The sequence below is a fragment of the Homo sapiens genome, chromosome 10, assembly GCF_000001405.40.
Source record: "Homo sapiens chromosome 10, GRCh38.p14 Primary Assembly".
Classification (NCBI taxonomy): Eukaryota; Metazoa; Chordata; class Mammalia; order Primates; family Hominidae; genus Homo; species Homo sapiens.
This window is the reverse complement of record NC_000010.11, coordinates 47,694,534-47,714,271: the sequence shown is the minus strand read 5'-3', so window position 1 is coordinate 47,714,271 and position 19,738 is coordinate 47,694,534. Positions and strand designations below refer to the sequence as shown.

The 19,738-nt window shown below is 37.0% G+C and overlaps 1 protein-coding gene, 1 long non-coding RNA gene and 3 pseudogenes across 6 annotated transcripts in view, besides 1 other annotated feature; 2 read left to right on the top strand and 3 right to left on the bottom strand.

The window, feature by feature from the left end:
- The window catches only part of ANXA8 (annexin A8), a 523,804-nt gene that overhangs the window by 277,525 nt on the left and 226,541 nt on the right, over positions 1–19,738 (top strand). The window lies entirely within an intron of this gene.
- The window catches only part of SHLD2P3 (shieldin complex subunit 2 pseudogene 3), a 41,519-nt pseudogene that overhangs the window by 16,947 nt on the left and 4,834 nt on the right, over positions 1–19,738 (bottom strand). For 2 of the 3 annotated variants that reach the window (NR_160661.1, NR_160660.1), the window contains exons 1-3: positions 7,540–8,211; positions 3,858–4,051; positions 3,556–3,690 (exon numbers count right to left, since the gene is read on the bottom strand). The product of NR_160661.1 is annotated as a shieldin complex subunit 2 pseudogene 3, transcript variant 3 (transcript). Of the gene's footprint in view, positions 1–3,555; positions 3,691–3,857; positions 4,052–7,539; positions 8,212–17,761; positions 17,870–19,738 lie in introns of those variants that run through there. The other variant, NR_027634.1, reaches the window with a different exon arrangement.
- LOC102724603 (uncharacterized) lies at positions 2,366–5,764 on the top strand. 2 transcript variants are annotated; one of them, XR_007062139.1, is made up of 4 exons: positions 2,366–2,832; positions 3,197–3,283; positions 4,993–5,059; positions 5,621–5,764. It is a non-coding gene; the product is annotated as an uncharacterized LOC102724603 (long non-coding RNA). The 2 variants fall into 2 exon arrangements; XR_007062140.1 differs by lacking the exon at positions 3,197–3,283.
- On the bottom strand, positions 7,104–8,450 carry RHEBP2 (RHEB pseudogene 2; annotated as a pseudogene).
- Positions 7,104–8,450, bottom strand: LOC107984289 (Ras homolog, mTORC1 binding pseudogene; annotated as a pseudogene).
- Positions 7,726–8,225: an enhancer, noted in NCBI's record as "H3K27ac hESC enhancer chr10:47396067-47396566 (GRCh37/hg19 assembly coordinates)". NCBI's record gives its function as "activates a minimal SCP1, AML or CMV promoter by ChIP-STARR-seq in naive H9 embryonic stem cells {active_cell/tissue: H9 hESC(naive)}" and the evidence as "EXISTENCE:reporter gene assay evidence [ECO:0000049][PMID:30033119]".

The window sequence follows — 19,738 nt, the reverse complement described above, 5'->3', positions numbered from 1 at the left end:
AAGCATATATTCCAAGTTACTGCTTAAAACCAATCACTAAAATAGCTTTCTTGTCTTATTACAAAATACCTGATTAGAAAAGTAAGCTAAGAGAAGCCAAGTAAATAAACATATAGCAGCCATAATCTCAACACCCTAAATAAGCAGTTAACATTTTAGCGGACAACCAGTTGTTTGGGATTTTATTTATTGGGATTGACTTAATAAGTCAAATATAGTTTTATATGTATGTATTATTCTACATTGCTTTTAAATATTACATAATATGCCATTGTCCAGATACACCAAAATCTTAAAAATTATTACAGCAAACCTCTATTTTGAGGGACTCTGGTTGTTTTTTATTTTTCACAATTATACATGATACCATGATAAACCCATTTTCAGCTACATCTTTATACATAGTTATGATAAGTTCCTAGAGCTAAAATTATTGGGCTAAAAGTACCCCCAATTTGTTCATATTAATTGTCAGTTATCCTCAAGAAAGGTTCTGCCAGTTTGCATTTCCAATAGCTGATGACAGTAGCTGTTTTCCCATATCTTCTCAATCAATTTCTTAAAAGAAAAATAATCTATCATCATTACTTTGTGTGTTTTCAATTACTTGTAAGAACAATTTTTCCATATATTTATTGGCCATTTTTATTTCTTCTTTGGGGACTTGCCTACTCATATCCTTTCCCCATTTAACTCTATAGATATGTGTCTTTTGCTTACTGCATTATTGTCTGACAATGTAATTTTTTTTCTGTTTTTTTTTTGTTGCCTTTCAATTTTGTACATGGTGGTTTTTATGTATAATAGTTTTTGTTCCTGGATTTTATTTACCCTACCAACCTTTGCATTACAAATAATTTTGCCTATATTTTCTTCTACTATTCATTGTTTCATTATTTTTGTATTTGAATCTCTAATGTATCTGAAATTTATATTGGCACAAATATAAAGTATAAATTTAATTCTATTTTTTCTCACATTGTTAGCTAGATTTTCCAAACATTAACTATTCTTTTATTTTAAAAAGCATAAGGTTTTAATTTTATTTTTAATTATAAAATAAAATACATTTATTGTGAAATATTTAAACAGTAAAGATGAGGGAGGTAACAGGTGAAACAAGACTGACCATGTTTTAATAAGCTGGCTAATAGGTACCGAAGTTCATTATGCTGGCCGGGTGCGGTGGCTGGCTCATGCCTATAATCCCAGCACTTTGGGAGGCTGAGGCGGGTGAATCACCTGAGATCAGGAGTTCGAGACCAGCCTGGCCAACATGGTGAAACCTCGTCTCTACTAAAAATACAAAAATAAGCTGGGCATGATGGCACATGCCTGTAATTCCAGTTACTTGGGAGGCTGAGGCAGGAGAATAACTTGAACCCAGGAGGTGGAGGTTGCAGTGAGCAGAGATCATGCCACTACATTCCAGCCTGGGTGACAAGAATGAAACTCTGTCTCAAACAAACAAAAAAAAAAAGTGCCTTATGCTTAGTATTCTCTCTACTTTTGTATATGCTTGAAGGCTTTTATAATAAAAGTTTTTAAAAGTAAATGCAGATGCTCACACACATATGAAATTCAAACTAAAGGTATAAAGAAAAAAATTAAAGCACATATAATACTACTATACAGAAATAACTACGGCTAGCATTTTGCTATACATGCATATTTCCAGGTTTTCAAATGCACATATGTACTTATAGATACATTTTTATTAAAATGAGATACTATCATATATAAAGGGTTTTCTTGAAAATTTTTGTGTATTAACTTATATAAACATAAAAATATTTATTATATGATAACATAATATATTTTCTATACATGAAGTTTTACAATCCAATTTTTTTTATTTTTTATTTTTTTTTAAGATGAGAACTTGGACTCCTGGGCTCAAGCAATCCACCCACCTCAGCCTCCCAAGGTACTGGGTTAACAGGAGTGAGCCACCACACCTGGCCTATAATCTACTTTTTAAACTAAATAATACATTACATATATCTTTCTAAGCTAATGAACATACACATTTTTGGTAGTGAATATCTTTATGTATTCACCCAGATCACAAATGATTCCCTTAACTGTTTTCCCATCCACTGAAATAAGCTCAAGCTCTCATATTTGTATTGCGTGACCCTGTCTTCCTGATCACAGTTTTTTGAATCAAATTTACTCTGGGCAATCAGATTCTCTTTGCTGGGAATTTGGAAATGGGGTTGGTCTCTTGAAAAGAAAAGTAAAATCAGGAAAATAGAATTACTTAAGTAATCCTTCAAAATTGGTATTTTTATCTTAAAAAGACTGATGTGAGGTATTGAAGTAGATGTTAAAACTTTAAAATGATGGTTACAAATAAGGGGGGCTGGATGAATGAATGTACAAAGAACAACAACATCTTAATTCCTGGATTCATACGTTTTCAATACTAACCTAAACACCATAGAGTCACCTAGAGACAACTGTAATTTCTCTTCTATTAACCAAAAAACTATTAATTTTAAAAGAATATTCACATTAAACATGGAGCAATCTGCTCTGTTACAGCTCCACTATACCTGTGACCTACATTCTTGTGTAGCATGCACTAGACTCATGTTCTCAGCCAGGCTATGGTGGTCAATGATCATAGTTAGTCTATCACTGATACATGTTTGTCAGCTTGCTCAACCAAACATCTGTCCCTGTTTGATCTTAACATAAAAGTCCAAAGTTAGACTTATCTCAAATCCTAGTCATAGCTATTAATGATTAAGAGAGACAATGTGATAGATCCTATCTACAAATAACTATTTGGAAGGCAGAAGTTTGGAGAGACATTAACTCTTTCAGGTAAAAAATAATAATATACTGAATCAATCTCTAAATTAATTTAGCAGGGAAAAATAACTCATAAGCCACAAATGAAACTGTCTTTGATTGTTACAACTAAAGGATCTCACAAGAGCAAAGGGAAGACACTATACTATTTTAATGAAACATCAATTCCATTTAATTCAATATACCAGAAATAATTTATGCTTTAAAGAAAAATGTAATCATGGGTCATATTTTAACACTGAACATTCTAGGGATGGCTAACAGTGCATGCTTTTAAAACAACTATAATAAAAATATGAAACTGTAATTTATTGAACATTAATTGTGACTTGAAAGAGTTAAGGTAACTCCCTTGACATCTGCCTTATAATCATAGCATTTATTTATCAGAGTACTCTGGCTGAAAAAAAAATTGTAGAAGCTTCTCCAGAATTAAATGTTTAAAGAACATTATTTGAAGGAGGTAAGATCTTCACTAAAAAGGTAAAGTAGTATATCTGGGAATAAATTTAAGCCTTTATTTCACCACCATTAATTAATGAAGACTTATTAGATAAATGAATTGCTACAAGAGGTACAAAATTTTAACAGAAGAAATTTGCAGAAGAATATTCAATCATGATCACTTGTATTTCAAATGCTGTCTCGTCTCTTAAGATTTTCTCCATCTTGGGCTCATAAACATTAATCATTTACCGAAATATAAATAGGTTAAATGCTTTTTGGTGTATTTACCTTTTTTCCTTTGAAGTTGAGGGTACCAGGCTGCTCCAGGACCCCATAATACAAGCGCATAATGTTGATCTTGGGCCTGTTCCACTGTTAACATAACTTTTTTCTGCTTCTGTCCTCTATAACTGTATACTGCCTCTGGAAAAGGAAAATGAGTATCTTAGTTGGCATTACTCTATCACACGTGATACCATACTTTAATAGCTGATGATACATATATAGTGATAACCAAATGGTACACTAAGATGGTCTTGTATCTTAATTTTTTCATAATCTAAAATTAAGGAGGCAGTCAAAATGTTTACCTGTCAGTATAGGAAATCAACAACTCTTAGTACTGCGTGGACTAACACATCAGGTTGAAGGTGCTCCAATTCTACAAAGTCTATACTGTTCACCCTCTGAGGCTGTCTCGGAGGAAGATCTCTGAGGTAGGAATGTTTTGAGGACACATATGCCAGTAAGTCTTGAAGTACAACGTCACTAACTACACTGGAATCTAAGGAAAAAAAACATGCATACAGACAAAAGATGGCAACATTACATTTTTCTTGACAAATAATATTTTTTAGAACTGTATTTTATGTTGTAAAGTATGATTAGATATAAAATATAGTTTTGTTTTCTCTAAAACATGTACAATAGCTAAGTCTTGAATCAGTTTAGATGTAAAAATAAACTTGATATTTTTAATCAATGGAAATGGAATTATTTACTATCCCCAAAAAACTTGTGCTGTTCCCATACTTCTTTACTTTGTTAATAATATCATTTTCTATCAATTAACCAAACACAAAATTTCTGTTCTTTTTTGACTCCACCACCCTGTAACAGCCAATTGGTTCCCCAATCCCTGGAGTCTGATTTGATCCTGCTTTCCCAACTATCCTAGCCTCTGCCGTTCTTCCTCAAGCCCCTTCTGAAACAGGCTCAGAGCCACCTCACTGGTTCTCTCCCTGAGTGTGCCTTACTCTTTCCACACGAGGCCTCCGTCCTCACCAATTTCCAGCTGCAAGGCTGTCTTCTTGTCCTACCCAATACCACATAGAATGATGACCACTATAGATTCACAGTGCTGCTTTTTTCCCTGAGCTCAGAGAGCTTTTAAGCATGTGCTACATTGTAATATTTTTCAAGTGTTGGATTGGTTATTTAATTCTTCAGTTACTATGTCTTTTAAATGTTTTTCTCTTTCCTGTCTCATTTTTTTTTCTCACTTTTTATTAAGGTATAGTTTCTGTACAATAACATGCATATATTTTAAATGTACAGGCTGATGAGTTTTGCTGATTAAATTTTAATTTCTCTGAAGGTAAGAGAAGTATGCTTGAGTACGTGATTGATTGCTGACCAAAATAAGATATTGGCAATAAACACTTAAGTACTTTTTAGAAAGCAGACTTCATAAACTGATTTGTGATTCTTCTTTCCTTCCTTTAGACAGTAAAAGAAAAGGGATGTAACAGGTGAAACAAGACTGACCATGTTTTAATAAGCTGGCTAATAGGTACTTAAGTTCATTATGCTTTGTATTCTCTACTTTTGTATATGTTTGAAGGCTTTTACAATAAAAGTTTTTAAAAGTAAATGCAGATGCTCACACACACATAAAATTCAAACTAAAGTTACAAAGAAAAAATTAAAACCACACGTAATACTACCAGACTGAATTCTTCTTTCACAGTATTTCCAGCAAATCTGGAATCAGAAGAGTTGTATTCAAATTCTGGTTTTGTCAATAATGAGCTCTGTGAACTTGTACATAACTTCTCTGGGCTTCGTTTTTCATGAACAAGATAGAGCTTTTGGGGAACAAAAACATCTCTGACATCAAATTATATATTTGTCCCTGATTCATAAAAATTTACATGGAAACACATGGTTATTTAGATTCCAAAAAAAGTCTACCTCATGGAAACACTGTGTTGATCTTTGACTTATATATTTAATAATATTCAAGATAAATTTATATTCCTGTCACATTATCAGAACTAGGTTTGTAAAACATGTAACACCTCACTATAAAGATGAAAGAACAGAAGTCTTTTCTTTTCAACTTTTACTTTAGATTCGGGTGTACATGTGCAGGTCTGTTACCTGGGAATACTGCGTGATACTGAACTTTGGGGTACAAGTGATCCTGTCACCCAGGTACTGAGCACAGTACCCAACAGGTAGTTTTTCAACCCTCTCCCTCTAGTAGTCCCCAGTGTGTATTGTTGTCACCTCTATGTCCATGAGTAGCCAGTGTTTAGCTCCCACTTATAAGTGAGAATACACGTTATTTGGTTTCCTGTTCCTCCCTCAATTCACTTAGGATAATTGCTTCCAACTGCATCTGTGTTGCTGCAATTTATTTATTTATTTATTTATTTTTTTGAGACAAGGTGTCACTCTGTTGCCCAGGCTGGAATGCAGTGGCACAATCTCAGCTCACTGTAAACTCCACCTCCTGGGCTCAGGTGATCCTCCCACTTCAGCCTCCCAAATAGCTGGGGCCACAGGTGTGCACCACCACACCTAGCTAATTTTTTTGTATTTTTTGTAGAGACAGGGTTTTGCCACCTTGCCCAGGCTGGTCTCAAACTCCTGGACTCAAGCAATCTGCCTGCCTCAGCCTGTCAAAGTGTGGGAATTACAGGCATGAGCCACCGCACCATCCTGATTTCATTCCTTTTTATGGCTGTGTAGAATTCCATGGTGTATATGTACCACATTTTCTTTATTCAATCCTCCACTGATGGCCACCTAGGTTGATTGCATGACTTTGCTACTGTGAATAGTGCTACAATGAATATTCAAGTGCTTATGTCTTTTTGGTAGAACAATTTGTTTTCTTTTGGATATATACCTAGTAATGGGATTGCTGGGTCAAATCATAGTTCAGTTTTAACTTCTTTGAGAAAACCCCAAACTGTTTTCAACAGCGGCTGAACTAATTTACATTCCCACCAACAGTGTACGAGCATTTCCTTTTCTACACAGCCTACCAACATCTGTCGTTTTTTGACTTTTTAATAATAGTTGTTCTGGGGCTGGGAGTGGTGGCTCACACATGTAATTCCAGCACTTTGGGAGGCTAAGACAAGAGGATCGCTTGAGCTCAGGAATTCAAGGCCAGCTTGGGCAACATGACAAAACCTGGTCTCTACAAAAAATACAAAAATTAGCTGGGCATGGGGGCATGCACCTGTAGTCCCAGCTATTCAGGAGGCTGAGGTAGAAGAATCTCTTGAGCCTGGGAGATTGAGGCTGCAGTGAGCTATGATCAGGCCACTGCACTCCAGCCTGGGTAACAGAGTGAGATCCTGTCTCTAAAAAATAAATTTTAAAAAAGTATTATTAGGTCCCACTTTTCAATTTTTGGTTTTGTTGCAATTGCTCGAGGGCTTCATCATAATTATTTCCCAGAAGTCCTTTCCAAAAACACAATATATTGATCAGAAATAAGAATCCTCTCATGAGTTGTAACCACTTGCAAAATCAAAACCAAATTGGTAAAATGAGTAACCAAATTGGTTTACTCTTTTTTTTGTTTTTTTTTGTTTTTTTGAGGTTTGCAGCTATTTTATTTACAAGTATACATTTAACACAATGAAATAAACACTGATATATTGAAGCCTAGTTAATAGTAGTGTAACAATATGCATCATTTTGATGATTACATTATTTTAAACAACAAACTACACTGAAAAATTAATGCCGATAAAATTCTTGGTCATAATATTAAGAAACACAATATATAAATTGAAAATATGATTGCTTAAAATTTGAAAATGGAAGTGAACTCATTTGGACAGACTCAGAGTTAACATAATCTGAAGGGAGGGGAGCTCTGACCCAAATGATATCTTTCAGGTTAACAGAAGAAAAAAGAAGCATAGTTTATCTTCAAGGAGAACGGGCAGTTTGCTTCTTCAGCTAGAATATATTCCCAGTGTCCTCGGGCTTTGCAGCAGAATCACATCACCGAGCATGAAGACTTGCCTTGTGAAGCTGCCCCCGTCCATTTTTTCTGCCTCCAAAATCATCCTTCGAAAAACATCAACAGCAGTCTGATTTTCTTTAGCAGAAGATTCCAAAAAAGCTGCATTCCAAGATTCTGCCAAAGCTTTCCCTTCTTCATAACTGATCACCCTTTCCATATGCAGGTCTTTCTTATTTCCAACCAACATAATAGGTATTTGTACTTTCCCCACCATATCCAACAATTTGCCATGGATAACTTTAATCACTTCAAAACTTTTGATTGATGTAACAGAATACACAAGAATATAGCCATTAATATCTATGGAGTATGTCTGAGGAAAGATAGAATATTCATCTTGCCCGGCTGTGTCTACAAGTTAAAGATGATATTCTTGTCCATTTACTGTGATCAACTTTGTAAAAGTGTTTTCTATGGTTGGATCGTAGGAGTCCACAAATTGGCCTTCAACAAATTGAATCGTCAATGAGGATTTCCCCACAGACCGGTAGCCCAGGATCGCGATCTTCCGGGACTTTGACTGCGGCATCTTGGCGGCCTCCTCAGCCCCGGCCCAACCACATCAACCGCGGCGGCGGCGGCTCCTGCTGCTGTGATCGGCGGCGGCCGCGCCGGGAGAGAGCGGCATACAGAGCAGGGGCGGCGGCGGGCGCGGCTGCCTCTCGCTCGCTAGCTCGCGCGCTCCCAACCGCCCGGAACCGACCGCGCGGCGGCGCCCCTCCCCCCCCACAACACGCCCACGTGACCGGCCGGCGTCAGCACCGCCCCTCTTCGCGCCGTGGCCCGCCGCCTCCGCCCCCCGAAATACGCGGGGGGTGCGTCGGGGCGACGTTTTACTTTAAAGGCAAAAAAAGGGGACGCCGCGATGCCCCCAGAAAAGTCACGACTGAAACTCGCTGCGTCATGACCCGGTTTACTCTTTCAGAAGGAAAACAACTGCAATATTCTCAAAATGTCCACTGGTAGCCATTTCCCTACATCAATAAAAAACTTTAGAATATACTTTATTTAGCTACTAACTTGTAAAAAATAAAGCACCATAAATTCCTGTGTATGTGTAAAAACAAAGATTGTGAAGTAACTTCTAAAGATTATCTAATTAGTTCAAGATTTTTCACATCATTCTACAAAAACCTGAAACTCTCTAGGGGATTCATAGAATATTCTCCATCCAGAATTTTGTCATAAGAGTTTTATGAAATTACTGAACTATTACTTGAATCTAGATCATCCTTAAAACCAGAGATATCTACATTTCCCAAATCTCTTGCAAAGCATTTGCATACCATGTTATTTTCATTATTTCAAAACATTCCTTCCCCTTCTATTCTATCAACATCTACAAGATATGCTGAATTTTACTTAGAAGCCATTTAGCTATCATTCATACACACACACTTTCCAAAATGTAACACCTTCAAATATACATAATAAAAGACTAAACTTGTATCTTTTACAGAAATCTCAAAATTAAAATTTAACTGACTTCAACTGGGCAAAACCACACCATCTCAGTTACTATAGGTTCATACTAAGTCTTGATAGCTGATAGGGTAAATTATTCTTCCCTGCTTTTCTTCTTAAAATGCCCTGCTGTTTTCAACCACTTACTCTTCTACATAAATATCATATAATCTTATCAAATTACATGAAAATCTTATTGGTCTTTAACTCTTTGCCTCAAGAGATCCTCCTACCTTGGCCTCCCAAAGTGCTGGCATTACAGGCATGAGCCACTGCGCCCTTGAAATCTTACGAGGATTTTTATGGAACATGCACTGAATTTACAAATCAACTTGAAAAGAACTGAAATCTTCACAATGTTAAATCTTCCAATTAATGAATAAAGTATGTTTATTTCATTCTTTGTTAGTTTTTCTTCATTTAAAAATTTTTCCTTTTTTAGGTCTTGCACATACTTTGTTACATTTATTACTATTAGTACAAAATAATATTGTTGTCAATGACAGCTTCCTTTGTTATTGTTAGTCGCTCTACTCTAGAAATGTGATTGACTTTTGTATGTTAATCTTATATCCAGCTACTTTGCTAAATTTTCACATTATTTCTGATAATTTGTTTGTAGTTTTCAGAGGGAAAAGGTATGTAAACCATCTATAATAATGGCAGTTTTATTTCTACCTTTCCAATCTTTACATATCTATTTTTCCATGTTTATTGCACTGGTTAATAACTCTAATATGGTGTTGAAGAAAAGTAGTAATAGTAGTATCCTAGTCATATTCCTGAATTTTAAAAGGAATGCTTCTAATATTTTTCCAATTAGGATGATAATTGTTCTGGGTTTTCTAAAGACACTCTTTATGAAGTTAAGGAAAATTTTATTCTATTCCTAATGAACAGGTGTTGAATTTTATCAAAAGCTTTCTTTGTACCTATTGAGATGATCGTATACAGCTCTTTTAAAAACTCTGTTTTGAACTAATGTAAGACTTACAAAAAAGTTGCAAAAATAGTACAGAGTTCCCTTATATTCCTCACTATGTCGACTAATGTGGGCATCTCACATATTATAAATTATCTTAAACAGGAAACTAACGTTAATTAAATATTGTTAATTAAAATGTATATGTTATTTAAATTTTACCAATTCTCCTATTAATATGCTTTTTCTATGTAGGATTTCATCCAAGATCCCACCTCACATTTAGTTGTTATTTCTCTTTGGTCTCCTCTAGTCTATAAGAGTTTCTCAGTCTTTTCTTTTTCATTACCTTGACACTTATGAAGAATCCTGATCATTTATTTAGTAGAACGTCCTTCCCTTTGGGTTTCTCCAGTGTTTTATGATTGGAATGAAGTTATGCATTTTTGGCAATTCCACAAAAAATATGGTGGATCCTTCTCAATGGATAATATCAAAGAATTTATGATACCATACATCTTATTACTGGTGATATTTACCCCAATCACTCAGTTAACTTGGTGTCTGAAGAGTTTTCTTATAAATTTATTATTTTCCCTCTAGTAAGCTGGTATCCTGGGGAGATACTTTGAGACTATGCAATGCTCTCTCTCCTCAGACTTTCACCTACTAATTTTAGCATCTATCAGTGCATTTGTGTCGGTGCAGTATTTATTATTGTGATCTCTGCCTGATGGTAATTCTCTATTTTTGTGTTTTGTATTTTTTTTTTTTTCTTGAGACAGAGTCTCACTCTGTTGCCCAGGCTGAAGTGCAGTGGCATGATCACGGCTCACTGCAGCCTCAACCTCCTGGGATCAATCAATCCTCCCACCTCAGCCTCCCGAATAGCTGGGACCATAGGGGCACACCTCCAAACCTGGTTAATTTTTCTATTTTTTGTAGAGACAGGGTTTTGCCATGTTGCCCAGGCTGGTCTCGAACTCCTGGGCTCAAGCCACCCACCTGCCTCAGCCTCCCAAAGTGCTGGGATTATAGGCATGAACCACTGAGCATGGCCAGTAATTCTCTATTTTTTTTTCTTTTCTCTCAGATTTATTAATTGGAATTCCATTGGAAGGAAGAGCTCTCTCTTCCCCTCTGGTTAGTTAATGAAATAAATATGTCTTTATATCAGTAAGGATTTGTAAAGATTTTAATCTATGGGTTCTAATCCAATACTATCATTATTTTCTTACTCAAATTGCTTCAGCTTTAGCCAGTAGGTGTTCCTTCAGGTTGGCTCTTGCATTATTTCAACATGTCTTGTCTGGCACCACTAGACTTCCAGGCTTATCCTGAATTTGCCCTGACCCAGTCCTGTAATCAACCACTTTTAGCAGAGCTGGTTCCTTTCATTAGAGAACTATGTTGGCCAGGCACAATGGCTCACACCTGTAATCCCAGCATTTTGGGAGGCCAAGATGGGTGGACTGCTGAAGCCCAGGAGTCCGAGACCAGCCAGAGCAACATGGTGAAATCCAGTCTCTACAAGAAATACAAAAATTAGCCAGGCGTGGTAGTGCACACCTATGGTGCCGGCTACTTGGAAGGCTGAAGTGGGAGGCTGGCTTGAGCCCAGGAGGCGGAAGTTGGAGTAAGCCGAGATCGCACCACTGTACTCTAGCCTGGGCAACAGAGCCAGACCCTGTCTCAAAAAAAGAGAGGCCGGGCACGGTGGCTCACACGTGCAATCTCAGCACTTTGGGAGGCCAAAGTGGGCAGATCATTTGAGGTCAGGAGTTCAAGACCAGCCTGGCCAACATGGTGAAACCCCATCTCTACTAAAAATACAAAAATTATCTGGGCGTGGTGGCACGTACCTGTAGTCCCAGCTACTTGGGAGGCTGAAGCAGGAGAATTGCTAGAACCCAGGAGGCAGAGGTTGCAGTGAGCCAAGATCACGCCACTGCACTCCAGACTGGGTGACAGAACAAGAGTCCATCTCAAAAAAAAAAAAAAAGAAAAGAAAAGAAAATGTTTACAGACGAAGATCTGGGCACCAGGTATGCTCATTATTACTGGGGAGTAACTGCATCTGTGCTGTGCTCGCTCAATGGACAGAACTAGGAGATGTTTATGTATGTGTACTATCCCACCCATATACACATGCCTATATTTCTGTATCCATTTATCTATATTAAAAATCCTCAGTTTATAACAATACCTCTGGTTCGTTTTAACCTTCCCTTGTTTATAATTTCTTTCTCCAACAGTGAGAAATCCAGCTTTCCTTATCTACAATCTATGTACTCATTTGTTCATTCTAGTATGTACATAAGGTTATTGCTAAGCCATTCCCCTTTGAGAAACATATTTCTAACTAGATTGCAGCATTTATGTACAGTCCTTTCTGTCATTAGCCTTATAGAATCCAGTCAATATACTCTTTTCCACAGCTACTTAGGTTTGTTCTTTTCTTCCCCACCCCCTTCTGTGTAGTTATTTTATTCATTTGTAACAATATTGGGTTCATTTGTAACAATAATACATTCATTTGTTAGTGTCACTTCCTCCTGACCCCTGCTATCCTGTTCCCATTCCCCACTTTCTTCCACCCCTCTCCTACGTGCCCCCTGTAGGTGACCAATCTCTTTAGTTTCTGGTTTATCCTTCCTGCATTTTCTTTCCACAAATAAACAGAGGTATTTTCTTATTCCTCCAATCCTTCTTACAGGAAGGACAGCATACTACATACAGTTTTGGGGGGTTTATGTTTTCACATAACAGTATGTCCTGGGAATCACTCCATATCAGTTCGTAGAGATCTTTTTCATTCTTTTTGTACAGCTGCATAGTACATAGTGTTCCACTATGTGAATGTACCATAACTTAGTGAATCATTCTCCTATATATTTTGCAATTATAAACAATACTGCAATGAATAACCTTGTGATATGTATTTTCATATTGTTGGAGATGTAGCTTCAGGGTAGATTCCTAGAAGTGGGATTGCTAGGTTGAAAGCTAAGTACATATGTAATTTTGTTAGATATTGCCAAATATCCCTTCAAAAGGGTTGTAGCAATTTGCATTCCTACCACCAATGTATAAGAGGGCACATTACCTCACAGTTGCGCCAACAGAATGTGCTTTTTTTTTTTTTAATTTTGCCAATCTGATAGGTGAGAAATGGTATCTCCATGTAGTTTTAATTTGAATTTCTCTAATAAGTTATATTTGATAGCCATTTTTATATCTTTTTTTGAAAATTGACTGTTCATCTCTTTTTCACATTTTCCCTTTTGCCAGGCTAGAGTGCAGTGGCATGAATACAGCTCACTGCAGCCTCGACCTCCTGGGCTCAAACAATCCTCCTGCCTCAGCCTCCTATGTAGCTGGGACCATAGGCATGCACCACCACACCTGGCTAATTTTTTGACTTTTTGTAGAGACAGGGTCTCACTATGTTGCCCAGGCTGGACTCAAACTCCTGAGCTCAAGTGATTCTCCCACCTCAGCTTTCCAAAATGCTATGATTACCAGTGTGAACAACCACACCCAGACTTTGTCACTCAAGGTTTAAAAGTTCTTTATATATTAGGGATATTAGCCTTTTGTTGTATGTTACAAATATTTTCTCCAAGTTTGTCAGTTGTCTTTTGACTTTGTTTATAGTGTTTTGGTTATGCAAAATTTATTTTTCTACAGTAAAATGTATCAGTTTATCTTCTACTGCCCCTGGATTCTGAGTAATATTAAGAAAAAGCCTTTCCCTACACCAAGATTACAGAGGATTCATTCAGGTTTCCTTCTTGTTGTTGCATGATTTTATTTTTTACATTTAGACTATTAATCCATATGGTGTTTATTACTGTTTGTTGTGAGATACGTGTCCAATTTTCCCTTTTTTCCAAATGGCTACCCAGTTGTCTCAGCACCATTTATTAAGAAGTTAGCTTTTATCTCACTGATTCCAGATACTATCTTTGTCATATATTAAATTGCTATATGTAGGTGGGTCTAATTCTAATCTTCTTACTCTATTCCACTGGTCTACTTGTCTATTCATGCATCAGTACTTCACTGTTTTAATTACAGAGGCTTTATAGTATGTTTTAACATCTGGTAAAGCTAGTTCCCCTCCTCTGTAGTTTTCCTTTGTCAGTCTTTTCCTAGCTATTCTTGCATGTCTGTTTTCCCATATGAGCTTTAGTATCAACTTTTATATGCCACAACACATATATTTTCATTGGAACTACATTGAATTTACATATTAACTTAGGAAGAACTGACATCATTATAATGTTGAGTCATCCTATCCAAGAACAGGAAATGTCTTTCCATTTATTCATGTCTTCATTTCTTTCTGGAGTGTTTAAATTTTTTCCTCATATAGGCTTTGCATATTTCTTGTTAACTGTATTTTGAACTATCTTCTTTATTACTATAGTAAATGAGTTTTTCACTATCATTATGCCCTCTGTTTGTTATTTGTGTATATTGTCTAATTACTATTATTATTATTTTTTTTTGAGACAGGGCCTTGCTCTGTTGCCCAGGCTGGAGTACAGTGGTGCAATCACAGCTCACTGCAACCTCATCCCCCAGCCTGGGCTCAAGCAATCCTTTTACCTCAGCCTCCCAAACAGCTGGGACCACAGGTGTGTGCCACCACACCCAGCATTTTTTTCTTTTTCTTTTTCTTTTCCTTTTTCTTTTTTGTAGCCCAGGCTGGTCTTGAATTCCTGGGCTCAAGCTGTCCACCCACTTTCATCTCCCAAAGGGCTAGAATTACAGACGCAAACCACTGCACTCAGCCTAATGATATTTTTTAACATTAATTTTGCATCCTGTTATATCATTGAATTATCTTATTATTTAAATTTGTTTTAACTTTGATTCCCTGGAGTTTTCAGGTATGTTATCAGAGCATTTGTAAATAGAGATAATTTTCATTCTTCTTTATCCATTCAAATGTTCAAATGCCTCTTCTTTCTTTTTTTTTTTTTTTTTTTTTTTGGAGACAGAATCTCGCTCTGTCCCTCAGGCTGCAGTGCAGTGTACAGGTGCTCACTGCAACCTCCACCTCCTAGGTTCAGGCAATTCTCATGCCTCAGCCTCCTGAGTAGCTGGGACCACAGGCATGCACCACCACACCTGGCTAATTTTTCATCTTTTTAGTACAGACAGGGTTTTGCTATGTTGGCCAGGCTGGTCCCAAACTCCTGGCCTCAAGAGATCCGCCCACCTTGGCCTCTCAAAGTGCTGGGATTACAGGCGTGAGCCACCGCACCAGACCAGATGCCTCTTCTTGTCTAAGTGCGTTAGCTGATAATTCTAGTATAAGATGAATAGTTGCAGAGATAGTGGACATCCTTATCTTTTTCCTGGTTTTAATGACAATGCCTCGAGTGCTTTTCTATTAAATAAGACATTGGCATTAGGACTAAGTATCTATTTTATTGATATAGTATTAATCATATTATAATGCTGTATTGATGCTATATTTATTTATTTAAGAAAAAAATTTTTTTTGAGACAAGGTCTGACTCTGGTCACCCAGGCAGAAGTGCTGTGGTACAATCATGGCTCACTGCAGCCTCAACTTTCTTTCCCACTTAAGCCTCCCCAGTAGCTGTAACTACAGGTGTGCACCACTACACCTGGCTAATTTTTCCATATTTTTAGTAGAGATGAGGTTTCACCATATCATCCAGGCTGGTGTCGAGCTCCTGGGCCCAAGTAATCCTCCTGCCTCAGCCACCCAGAGTGCTGGGATTACAGGCATAAGCCACTGTGCCAGGCTGATACTATATTTATTGATACTGAAAGGGAAAGTATCCTAGTATATTACTAGTTAACAGTATTATACAAATGTTGATTTCCTGTTGTTGATATTGTACTAAAGTTATATAAGATATCACCATTGGGAGAAGCTAGAAGAAGAGTTCATGGGACTTTATGTATTATTTTTGCAATCCCCTGTGATTCTATAATTATACAGATAATATTTATTTTAAAAACTTTTAAATTTGAAATATTATCTGTATGCTAATAACTCTAAAATTTGCCTCTTAATTTTAAACCTGTCTTCTGAGTCCTGAACTTTGTTTCCAGTTCTTATATGACATCTCCACTTGAATATCTCAAAGATATCTAAAACTTAACATGCCTTGAAACATAGCCCTTTTCCCCACAAACCAGTTCCCTCTCAGTCTTTCACAATAAAGGCTACCTAGTTACTTAAACCAGTAATCCAGTAGCAGTAGATTGTCCCTCTTCCCTGATCCCCAGACCCACATCATCAGAAAATCCTATTAACTCTATTTACAAATATATCTCGGCTCTTTAGCTCCACTGGCCTCCCATTATCTCTCAACTGCAGCTATTGTAACAACTTCCTAACCCTGATTCTACTCCATGATCAATCCTTCTCAACTAGAACCATGGCATTCTGTATCTTAACCCTTTGTTAGTTTCCTTCATAGCACTCATTATCACCTGCAAATATTTTACTTATATGTCTGTTTCATTCATTTTTTTTGGTCTGTCTTCCACATGAGAACATAAGCTCCAGGAGGACAGGCACCATTGTACCCCCAGTGTACAGTAAACACAGTGCCTGAAACAATGTCAACACATAATAAATATATATTGGATAGATGAAGAACTCTATTTGAGTTGTCTATGAAATATGTCAGAGTTGGTTTTCTGCTGATGGGCCACCCTAGTATATAATGAAACCTTGCCCATCCCAAACACAGTTCTTGTTATTCTAATTGTTGCTCTTCCCTTCTACTTGCTCTGCCTTTCTTTAAGAATTCAAAGATTGGAATTCCATGCTCTATCTTCCATATACATCCTATAACTTTCCTATTATTCCAGTTATCTTCTTGTATAATCAGTATATTTCTCTAGCTATTTTCTTGTATGATACTTCAGCATTTTATCAAATATATTTTGCTAGCTTATTATTTCTCCCTCTAATATTACTATGTTACTACTACATTATGTGCAGGTTCAACATCTTATATTCATTTTCTCACTTAATCTTCATAACAACCCTATAAGGTATATATGTATTTTTATCTCCATTTCACAGAAAAGGAGATAAAGGTATAGTGAAGTGAAATAACTTGCCTAAAGACAAAGACTGGAAGTAAGAGGGCCAGGATTCAAATCCTGGTCTATCTGAGTCCAGTGACCAAAACCACAAGTTTATACTGTTTCCCTTACTTTGTTTTCTTTCTTTTTTTTATGTCATTTTATTTCCTAGTGGAGGAGATAGCTGCTAGTTTCCTCATTAAACAGCTTCTTTTAAAGAAGAGAAAACTGGACATTAAAGAAGAAAGATAGCTTTTCTTAGCAGTGGTAGACAGGAGAATAAGGATTCAAACCACAGCTGTCTGAATACGAGACCAATACATTTTTATTACCTCAAGGATTCTTAATCAGAGGCTCAGAAGTTCCACAGAAGAACTTCAGAGGTCCACGGAATGCTTTAGAATTATAAGCAAAATTTTGTGCCTATCTACATAAGTCCAGTTTTCTGGAGAAATGGTCTATAGATTCTCAAAGAGGTCTCTGACTCCCTAAAAGGTGAAGAACCACCACTATACTGACAGCCTAAGAAAACGAAACATGATACCCAATACTTCTTAAAATAAATGTGATTTACAATGTACAAGTTCATTTCTTAAAATTCTATTTTCATTCTTACTAATGAAAAGAAACCAATACTCTCCAACTGTTTAGAAAACATTTTGTAAAAGAACCATTTTAACTCTAATCTTTCCTAGTATGTTTTTATACTTTAAACACTAATACATTACTTCATTTAAAATGTGCCTTACATTCTTCAGGCTGAATAGATGAATAACTCCCAAGATTTAATAACTGACTGCTAAATGTTGATTGTAGTACTGTCTCACCAATCCATTGGTCCTCATGAATAACAACATCTAGAGAGAGAAAAAAACATTCTGATCATGCCATAAATTCCTTCACAATGTGGTTAACCTACTAGTCACAGCAAAATATTATGCATGCCTCCCATATACCAAGCAACTAGAGATCAAATAGGTTAAATAACCTGCCTAAGGGCACGAAATGACAAAACAGCAAATCTAAAATCTAAATCTAGGTAAATTAACAAAATTGCTTCTTTATATTCAAATGATAGCAGTATGGAAGTCCACTGCTCTATATAAAAAAGGTTTAATAGCTTTTATTTACATAAGGAAAATGTTATCATGTATATTTCTGATACATCAAAAATAATTTTTTTTAGGACCAGAAGGCAAAGTAGTGGTTCCAAAGCCGTAGTGCCTAGGAGAGTAATAATATTCAGTATGCACTGGTCCCTTCTACTATAAATATATCTGAATATAAGGCATTCTTAACATACTTGATTATTTTTCCCTAAATAGCACGATAATTATCTTCCACACAAGTTAAAAGTGAAAGACTTTGGAGGTAGGGAACATTTTCCAACTGGAAAGAGAGAGCTGTATATCTAAGGCGGATAGAGTAGAATCAGGTAGAACTAAACATACCAACAGGTAGAAACAATTGTAGGTAGAGCAAAACGTGTGAGCTGTAAAGAGAAAGAGGGGAAGGGAGCTATCTCTAAGGCAGGATCTAATCAGCATACAGTGTCAGAGGTATAAACGTATATTAACAATAGTGAAATAATTTAGAGATAATAGGAAAGAAAACCAAGGATGTATAAATTCCAAGTGATTACTTACAGATTTAGATTCCAGACCCTTTCCTCAGCTTTTGAACCTTTTATCTACAACTGCCTAATGGAAATTCCCACCTGGATATTCCATTGGCTCCCCAAACTCAGCAATGTCCAAATCTGCTTTTCCTTTCATAGCGCCCAACTCATTTGTTGATGCTATGCTGCTAATCAAGTAAACTAAAATCTGAAGTCATCTTGCCTCTCCCTTCCCACTCCTTGCCACCAGCTCCCACCTACCCCTCTGCTGCTTAAATGTGCCCATGCCCCACCACTACTACTGTTTTACATTACACATTCCTTTCCCTCCCAACAGGTGCTTGTCCCGCCTGCAACCCATTTCTTACAATGCTAATGAGTCATTAATCAGAGCATTAATGAGTTCAGGCGAGTGATATATCAGAGCATTAATGAGTTCAGGTGACTTACTAAAAAACAGTGGTTCCCCACTGCCTAGCCAGGAAGAGCTAGTACAGCATTCAAGACTTTTCATGATCCAACATTCAGGATGCATGTTCTTCAGAAAAAAGGAACAGACAAGAAATTTCAAGGAGAGCATTCTGAAAGCTAGGACTGTGAAGCCTATGTTGGATTAGTGACATAGTAATCACTAGTGGTGCATGGAGGGGATGGGTAGCCCGCCCTGGCCTCCTGGCTCCTTCCTACCCTCTCACTGACATGCCCCAGCTCCTAGTCCTTATTCTGTTTGTCCTTTAAACACTGTGGTTTCCCAATGTTAAGCCTCCCATCTTCTTCTAATTCTAGTCAGTAGTCTCCCTTAGGTAATCCTTATTTTTGGCATCTCTTCATTCTATTGCTAGAAGTTATAATAGCAAACTGTCTACTGTGTTGGTATTCAACAAGGTCTGGAATACATCTGTTACTTCAAATTTTTCAGTATGGGCCGGGCGCGGTGGCTCGCGCCTGTAATCCCAGAACTTTGGGAGGCCAAGGTGGGCAGATCACAAGGTCAGGAGTTCGAGACCAGCCCGGCCAATATGGTGAAACCCTGCCTCTACTAAAAATACAAAAATTAGTCAGGCGTGGTGGCGGGCTCCTGTAGTCCCAGCTACTTGGGAGGCCGAGG